Source organism: Homo sapiens, chromosome 2 (assembly GCF_000001405.40).
Source record: "Homo sapiens chromosome 2, GRCh38.p14 Primary Assembly".
NCBI classification, from domain to species: Eukaryota; Metazoa; Chordata; class Mammalia; order Primates; family Hominidae; genus Homo; species Homo sapiens.
Genome location: NC_000002.12, coordinates 82789020 through 82799471, shown reverse-complemented (window position 1 = coordinate 82799471; position 10452 = coordinate 82789020).

Genomic DNA, 10452 nt, shown 5'->3' with positions numbered 1-10452 from the left:
ACCCTCAGTTTGGTGACATAGAGCTTAATAATTTAATTATGTTGGATATTTGAAAATTTAAACATAGAGAGAATTGACTTTTTCTTACTGAATATTTGCATTTTTATTATTCAGAATAAGGGAGATTAATTCTTTAGATTAATGTGTAGCTTACTGATATGGTTTGGATCTGTGTCCCTACCAAGTTTCATGCCAAATTGTAATCCCTAGTGTTGGAGGTGGGACCTGGTGGGAGGTGACTGGATCATAGGCATAGATTTCTCATAAATGGTTTAGTACCATCTCCTTAGTACTGTCCTCGCAATAGTGAGTTCTCATGAGATCTGGTTGTTGAAAAATATGTAGCAACTCTCCCCTCCCTTTCTTGCTCCTGCTCTGGTCATGTAACATGCCTGCTCCCCCTTCATCTTCCCCTATGATTGTAAGTTTCCTGAGGCCTCCCCAGAAGCCCAACAGATCTAGCATCATGCTTCCTGTACACTCCGAAGAACCATGAGTCAATTAAACTTTTTGCCTTACAAGTTACCCTGACTGAATGCGGTGGCTTATGCCTATAATTCCAGCACTTTGGGAGCCTGAGGTGGGTGGAGCATCTGAGGTCGGGAGTTCAAGACCAGCCTGACCAACATGGAGAAACCCTGTCTCTACTAAAAATACAAAATTAGCCGGGCATGGCGGCACATGCCTGTAATCCCAGCTACTCGGGAGGCTGAGGCAGGAGAATTGCTTGAACCTGGGAGGTAGAGGTTGCGGTGAGCTGAGATTGCATCATTGCACTCCAGACTGGGCAACAAGAGCGAAACTCCATCTAAACAAACAAACAAACAAACAAACAAACAAAAATACCCAGTCTCAGGTATTTCTTTATAGCAATGTGAGAATGAACAGACTAATACACTGACAATTTGATTTGCTTGGGAAGGAAATCAAAATATTTCACCCTAAAATATAATTTTTAAACATATTTCAAGATGGCTATTCAGAAAAGGTAGAAACACAAGAATAGATAAAATGTTTTCTTTTGTGTGGGAGATTTACATATGAAAAAGAAATAAAATGCAGTAAACAATGAATGCAAGTAGTCTTTCTTTGAACCCCTGCCTCCAGCCCCTCTTTCCATATCTAGGAAAGATTAACAAAGAGTGTGACATCTCTAAAGGTCTGACAGAAAAATTTGCTACTGGCTATCATCTATTCTTTCTGAGGGCTGCTACCTGTGAGGTTTCATCTGCACAACAAGCCTCCTTTTGCAATCCAGGCCTTTCCTGTTCTCTCCTTCTCATACCCTATTTTTCCATGTTCCCAAGGCCCAATTCTTTCTGTGGCCTCAAGACAGTATAAAAGCTTAACCATCTTGCCTTTTTTTGAGGTTTTTATAATTTATATGACTTCCATACACATGTGTGCTTGTAATAAAATTTATATGCCTTTTTACCCTATTAATCTGTGTATTATGAGTTTGTTTTATAGACTCAAAATATTAAAACTTCAATGAAAAAACTTAATTTTTTTTATACTTGCCTGTTTTATTTCCCCTCCCGTCAAAATAAAATAAAATATTCTTCAAGAATTCAAGAAAATAGACTTTGTATTAAGGTTAAATGAGCATAGAGTACCTAGTATGTTTTCAGTCACCTCGTTGCTATATTAAATTATGTCCTTTACCAGCATACAAAATGAACCAGCAATGGCTGAATGAGGGAGGGATTATGTACTCTGTGTGCTCCGAAAAATGTTGTGAAAGTGTCACAGGACTTCCCTTTCCACCATCAAGCCAAACAGTTCCTATTGTTGGTGCCAAGGTGCCAAGATAAACTAGCTGGAAACATGTGTGTCCCCTCTCATCCCTACCGCTCCTCTCCACTGGCCAACTGACAGAGACTTCTGGACTTCTGGCTTAGGGCTTGGAAACAACACAATCAGGGCTCAACTATTTTGACCAATCAGAACTAAACAATTTGAATACTTCATTTGCATAGATAGACCTGATTGAGAATCTGAAACAGAAATTTCTCTATTTAAGCCAAATCCTCCCTTTGTTCTTCAGAGAGCACACGTTCACTTGTACTGAAGGCTGTGCTTCCCCAGTATGTAAATTGTTTTTTTTTAAATAAAGTTCTGCTTTTACCTCTGCAGATCTCATTGATCATTTGTTAATAGTTACTATGCATGTATTACGTAAACCTTAGGTCCAGTTGTCAGCTAATACCTCTGTACTTGTTTAGTCCTCAAGATATTACTACTAAGCACCATATCTAAGTTCTGTGAGTTGACAAAAATGAGAAGGAAAGAAAATATAGCTAATAAAGGTCAACAACCGCAGTTATTCCAATATCCCATATATTTGTTTTCTGACCAATGATTGAAAACTAGTTTTCACATTTTTTCTTCTGATTCCATTATGATTATATTCGATCTCTCTTATCTGGCTAATATGTAATAAAATAGCTTTAATAAAGAATGAGCAGGGGAGTTAAGTATAAAACTTCAGAATATGTTTAAAATAATGAAACAATGTAAGTTAAAGAAAATATAATTGGTTTCTAATGGAAAGTTATTCCAATGTGTTGTGCTACTCTGTGAACCCAGAAGGGAGATATGTACTAGAGCCCTGTGGACCTACTTCACTTTATTTTCATAATAAACGTGTCATAAGAGAATACATTAAGTCCTGTCATTTAAGTTCTCAAGTTAAATAAAGCTGAAATGAGTAGCTTATATTTGACCCTCCATATCCATAAGTTCTACATTTGTGAATTCAAGATTCAACCAACCACAGATAAAAAATATCTTAAAAATTCTAAAAATAAGAAAAAATAGTACAGCAATAAAAAATAATACAAATGTTTTAAAGCTACAGAGTAACAGCTATTAACATAGAATTTATATTGTACTAAGTATTATAAGTAATCTAGAAATGATTTAATGTATAAGGGAGGATGTATGCAGGTTAAATGCAAACATTACGCCATTTTATATAAGGAATTTGAGCATCCACAGATTTTCCTATTTGCAGGAATCCTGGAACTAATCCAATAGTCTGTATGATAAATTGCTAATCAAGATTTAAAATAAACCTGATGAATCACAATACCAAAATAAAATAAACAAGGTAAATTTTACAGAAATGAATGTAAATATTTTAATAAAAAATCAAATTTGTGATATTATTGTATGAAGGAGAGTGGGATGACTCAGGTGGAAAACATCAATTCTGGGACACTGAACACCTAAAACAATGTAGTAACTTCCAGATATGTAAACTGAAACATAAGCTGCATTAATAAAAATGACAGTGTTTTTATGACAGAAAGTACTTACAGTGATAAAAAAAGTAATAAGCTGTTTCCAATTAAATAATCTCCACTTAAGAAGGACAAAAGGACATTTGCCCAGATACATCTGACCATTATGACTGAGTGATATAAAAATATTTAAATAAGTGTTCAAATGTGTTTATTCATATTTAAAGGACTGCTATTGTGGACAAGAAGACAATTTGTTCTAGTACTTCTCCAAGAGGAACAGTAGGACTAATAACTGAAATCCACTATTAATTCATTCCTTTAAAAGGGAAAAATTTCAAGTAATTGCAGCTGTACTGGATAGAAAAGAGTTATTTAAAGAAGAATATTTTGACAAGCTTTTAAAGTTATTTTAAACCGCAATTCAAATTCAAAACTTTTGTGATTGTTGTCGATATTGTTTTTAGGTTATCAAATTTTATACACAAGAACATAGCTTCTATGAATAAAGAGTGCACATAACTCATGTAAAAATGTGCATGACCTCTTGTTCACACAAACCCCAGGAAATGCAGGGCCCATTAGTCATCCTTCAATGGCTGAACTATTTCATGCAGCATGAATTGTTGTCTCTACAGGCTAATTATGATTTTTTTTAACTGTTAGACAAACAATTTTTGTTAAATTTCTACTATCTGTCCAAGATGACCTACATTCCTAGAACATATTAATTTACTATGAATACGGTAAATAGATTATGGAATTAAAGAAATAAATTATAAAACTTTGCACAGAGAGTTGGACTTATATGTTCTAATGAAAGATTTTGTGAGGAGTAAAAGTAAAGAACATATGACCAGCTTTCTTTAGTACACAATTTGTTTATTAAAATAAGATTAGCACTTCTCTCTAATACAGGAGGTTCAGGTAAACTCCCCAAAATACAATATACCATTTGTTGGGGGTCTAGAGAATATTAATATGAAACAATTTTTCAAATTAATTTAGTACTATAAATTTTGCAAATATATAATAATACTATTTAAGTAAATAAAATATACATTGGAAATTTTATAGAGCTTTGAAAACCAAAAATAAATGGCTTTAGTATTTTGGATACTCAAAAAAAACAACAGTAGCAAATAACAATCCCCTGGTATTTTATCAGTCTTCCACAATTACAGGTATAAATAAGATATATTTATTTATATATGCATGTGTGTGTATACACATATACATACATTTATATTTATCTAAATCAAGAATTTGACTGATTGGTTCATTACACTATTTCTTTGGACTCCTATTGAATTTATAGAGTATGCCATAAAATCTCATATTGTCTTGTTTTACGTCTTTACCTTGAAAGGAGAATTCTCAGCTATCTGAAGGCTACTATAATATCTCATTTTTCTATTATATTTTTTCATAAACCCAAACACTACATGGAAACTGCTGGACGATGAATATGTATCAATGAATTGATTTTTCACATCCAGGTGTAGAGTTTTATAAATTTTAATGACTTAGATCTTTTTTGTACTAGCAAATATTTTCCTATATTTTATGCCCTGAGGTAAATTGAGTTTAATGAAAATTAAGATGGCCCATGTAAAGACAAAACCAGCCAGTCTAGAAGCAGAAGATAAGTTATTGCTGTTGAGTTGAATTCAATTCTAAAATGTTTGCACTGAAATGTTCTACACCTGCTAGGATTTGAATCTCAATATTGTTAGGCCATGGGAGGATTTCTTCTTGGTAAAATGCAAATGTCTCATTTGTTTTGATGTCCTGTGTTTGGCGCATCTGTGTGTGTGTGAGGCATTATGAGGAGGGAGGCCAAAGGAAAATTGTCCTAATGCACCTGTCCATTAGTGAATCCTCATGCCCAGCAGAAACTTTCTGGCACCATCTGGTTATAATCTTATGCTCTGAAGCATGAGAATTGATGAACCTTTTAATTTTTATCTCAGCTAGTATAATTGCAGATGCTATTCTTATTCAAAATGGGCTACATTTTGCCCACGGCCAAAAGCATACAGCTTCCATTGGCTTTAATGTGAGGACAGGCACAAGAAACTGACAAGAGAATTCAGTCTAATGCTTCTAATTGCTTTATGAATCTTAATAAGCCTGTTTGACTTAATAATATTCAATCATGGAGAATTTCACAGGTTATTTATTCATTTGCTATAAAAAGCATTTTCTTGAACCCTTTTAAAAAGGGCTTTGTTTTCATTACAAAGCAGATTCTTTGCTTTCTGTGGCCAAGAAGCATGGCATGGAGTCCTGTATTTTATGCAAACAAAATGAATCTGAAAAAGACTGAAAATATTAGTACCAACATTGTAGTAGACACCAAAAGTGCATGCCACAAAACGATGAAAGCCCAAGAGAGTTCACACAGTGCCTTTTTCACACAAAGACAAGTGCAATTTGTATAGAATATAAAGAGTCATAGTTAATTAGTTTGGCTTTAATTGGGTTTGCACTACATCCAATGCTTTATAGAACCATCAGTGCTAAGAAGGAAAAAGCGAGTCAATTTGTAAAATATGCAGAGAAATTGACTACAGAGAACTAAGCAACATAAATAGAGGCTAAATCCCTGATAGAGGAGAATCAGCAGAAAGTAAGAATTAAGCACACATTTCTTAGAGGAGATAAATGAGAAATTACTTTTCATCAGTAAATGTACCCCACCAAATTCCCGCTTTCTACACTTTGAATTTTATATATATGGAGATGCCTGTAGATATGCATATTTTCTAACACAAAAATAAAGTGTCTCCTTCAGGTAAGGTGATGTTATCTTTACACATATGGAACACTGTTGTCAAGGTCAAAAACATTGTAGATTGATAATACTAAGTCGTGGTGTATGTGATTAAGGACAGCTGACCTAGCCCATTTCTATTGGATAGCAAAAACATGATTGACTAAACAGTTAACATTAAAACATATGGACACACATATATACACATGTACAATAAAAATATATCAGGGTAACCTACTCCCAAAGCTGTGGCAGACAGACTTACCAGGTTTAATAACTAAGGATAACATCACTTCTCTCTTTTACAAGTAATCAGGAAAACCTCCAACATATTTTTAAGGCAAAAGACTCTCTAATTTTCTGGTTTATACCATCTCTAGGGAATGAAATACTGGTGTTAAGCAAACTGTCACTGGGAATCTGTGCTCCAATTTGCCAAATCCCATTTTTGTATTATTAAAGAGCCATATCTCTGTTGGCAAGCCTTTAAAAGGTATATGTCAAAGAGGAAGGGATGAAAAAGAAGGCTGGTGTCTTAGTACATTTGTGTTGCTATAAAGGAATACATGAGGCTAGGTAATTTATAAGCAAAAGAGATTTTATTTAGCTCATGGTTCTGGAGGCTGTACAAGAAGCACAGTGCCAGCATCTGCTTCTGGTGAAGGCTTCAGGCTCTTTCCATCCATGGAGAAAGGTGAAGGGGAGCAGATCTGGAGAAATACATGGTGAGAGAGGAAACAAGAGTGTTCGGGGGGAATGACCAGGCTCTCTGGCAACCAGCTCTCTGGGAACCAATAGAGGAGAGCTGTATAACTCATTCATTACCACAAGCATGGCAGCAAGTATTTCATGAGGGATCTGAACCCTCAACCCTAACACTTCCCACTAAGCTCCACTTCCAACATCGGGGATCATATTTCAACATGAGACTTGGAGGAGTCAAACACCCCATACCCAAACTGGCAGCTGGGCTCCAAAAACTTGAATTGGGCTTTTGTTCTCAATTACGTCAAAAAGTCACAGGGATTAGCCTACAATATGATCTACATAAGGGTGTATATCATACCACGCCTGTACATATTTGCATTTCGCAATTGAATTTCATTTCTCAAAGTTTAAAAGTGGCTACCTTACTCCATATATCCTATCTTAACATGACAGAGGATATTTTGTAGTTCTTAGAGGGTATAGTAGGTGTCGGAGAGGTCACTTTAGACATAATTACAGTAACTAGAAACTAGGGAAATGTATCCTCTAGAATGCAAGGAATTATTAAAAACTAATTTCAGAGTAATGAAAACCAAGAATATTTGATTACAATAATGATAATAATAAGTTAAATGTTTAAAATATTAGTTACTGCATTAAGCATTTCATGTATATTAATCATTTAAGGCACACACACACACACAATCACATACATACTATTTGATGCACAATATCTCAATTTTTAAGGTGAAGAAAATATTTCTAAAATGAGTTGCCCAATGTCCTTTATCTCTTAATTCTAGAAACACTAATGTCTGCAGCAAATTTCTGGAAATTTGATAATAGATATGTCTACTATCTTAACTGTTGTGATGGTTTCACAGGTTTTTATATATGTTAAATTTTATCAGATTTTACACTCTGTATATATGCATTTATTATGTGTCAATTTTAGATTTTAAAAAGCTGCTAAAAACCTTACAATCAACTATCTATCAATAGTACATTGCTCTTACACCCCTATACTTTTCTGTTTCAAGTTATGATAGAATTATCACAGTGATTGCACTTAATCTGTAGATTAATTCATGGATAACTGACATCTTTGATATCCTGGGTTTCCTACCTGGAAATACAATATATTTTTACACATATTTGTATATTCTTATTTTCTTCATATAGTTTGTTCTATATAACTCCTGCAAATATTCTATTAGATTTATTTCTAGGTAGTATATGAATTTGTTGCTATTGTGTTAGAAATACATTTTGTGTTTTACATTGATTAAAGGATTATTGCTTGAGTGAGTTGGGTGTGAGGTTCAGGAAGAAAAAAGGTAATTTTAAATTAAAATAGGCTTGTATGAAAAATTTAGCACAACATTTCAATGGAGCTTCCTTTCTATGAGCTGCAGAACTTCTCTTCTATTTTCTTATTCAGTGCTGATATTACTTATGTTTTTTTCTGTTTAAGACTAAAGCTTTATACCAAATACAAAATATTGTACATTATCAAGAGTCTGTGGAACATGCTATTCTAAGAATATATAAAGTTGTATATGCATATATATTTCATATCTACATCTATCAAAAAAGAAACAGAGAGATTATTATTCTTTTCAAAATGGCTTTCTTTTTTGGAAAAGCAGAAAAAATTGTCTACATTAAAAATTGCATTCTGTTCTCCAGGAAAATAGGCGAAAGTGTTAGGGTGGTGAAAGCTCCACCCTCAGGCCGAAAAGCCTGAAACCGCAGCCCAAAGTGAGATCTTAAATTCCTATTTTCCTGCTCATATGTTGGCTTTTCATAAACTACCCATGCCTGCCCCGCCTCCCATCCTGTTCCTATAAACATCCCAGACTCAGTCGGACAGGAGAGGAGAAGCAGCTGGATGTCATAGAGAAGTGGCTTGACTTCAGAGGGACAGCCTGACGGCATAATTTTGCAGAAGAATCCGGCTGGAGACCAGGTTCTTCAAGGGAAAATTACCTGCCCCAATCCCCGTCCCCTTTTCAGTTCCCCTTTCCGCTGAGATTACCAGGCTTTAATTTGTTTGTGTGACCTTATTTTTCCTGGATGCTGGACAAGAGTTCAGGAGCCACTAGTGTGCATACAAAAGGCTGTCACACCGGCCCTTTGCCCTCGCTGGCAGAGGGCAGCCACCTCACATGATGAGTCAAAGGGCCCACTGAGCTGTTAACACTTCAGCTGTTCACGGATGGCAGAACTAAAAGAGCACTGTAATATGCTCCCTGGGGCTTCGGGGAGTCACAGGCACCCTCACCTAGATGCTGCTGTAGGGCCCACATGGAGTTCACTCATGCCAGCACCAAAGTGGCTAGAGGTTTCAGGAACTCATGCACTCCAGTTCCTGCCTCATTTGCTCATGCACACTCCCTCCTGTAAGGAGTTTAGAGCGGCGGGCTGAGTAAACAAAACAACCGTGACATGAGTCCAGCAAAGCGGTCAGGGAAATATCCTGCTTCAGGAGCAGAATTTCTCAACTGATACTCAAATTTCTAAGGCTGAGGCCAAAACAAATTATGGATTTGAGAACACATACATATTTTATTTAGACACACTTATAAAAATTTTCCTTAATACCAAGAAAGAGAAGCTTCTGGAAAGGCTTCCTAAAGGCAAGGATTTCTAATGTTGGTTTTGGATTGGAAAGTGAACACTAATGTGATCCCGTAGTCCACTATTAGCATATATGACTGTTGGAGCGCAAGGGAGGGGAGGGATGGGGATGGGTATTTGATGTTGCTCCAGTAGTATCTGCTGAGCCACTCTCTTGTTTAAACACTATGACTTATATTTGGCTCCAGCTACTTAATGAAAAGGCAAAGCTAATTTCCTCTTTATCTCCCAGTATGCACTGTAATTTGCCAACTTTACAATAAACTATGATTTATCTCAGGAGGTTATGATTTTGTTGTTGAGAGAAAACTGCATCTGAGCCTTAACTTTGATTATTAGTCATTGAAGCTCCCTCCTGGAATCATTTTTAGTTTTATTTCAAAACACTGCTTCACCACTTCTTCTCCATAGTTTTAGAATCAAAAATTGAGAAAATGTGTGTTCATCAACTGTCAGAAACATAATCTTTGGCATTCCTCTGTAGCTTAAACTTTTTTGTCCCTTTCTCCCTAGGCAATAAGTCAAGTCAAAAATTTCCCTTTCTATCTCTATCTTCTGTACTACTTAGACACCTATATGGAATTACCTCCTAATGCTGGGCTGGATCTTCCTGTTTTCCCAAGTAGAGTGGAATCCTCAAAAGGGTGGTGTCATGCCATTTCAACTCTACTTGGAGGGTGGACATAAAGTCCCACACATTGTCTACAACATTTCCCAGTAAAAGAAACATACTCTGCTTTGTGACCATTCCAACCTATTCGTTACTGTATCTGTTAAAACAATGATAACAGAACAGGGATAAAATGTGTGCACAGGAGCATTATTATAAATTACAAATAATAAAAGGCATGTGATTGTCTATTACAGCCTACAGAGTGCTTATCGAATGTGCTCATTAATTCCTTCTTTCAATTGCCCAGAGAATCTTCAAATATCCATTGGTTTTTACCAAGCATCTGGCACTCTGTTAGGGATGAAGAGATTAGTAAGGTATGAGTGTAGCTTCAAGCAGCTTGCAGTTAATATGGTCAAAGTATTCATACCTACTGCCATTATCAGTGTTCTCACAGCCTAACTTGCAAA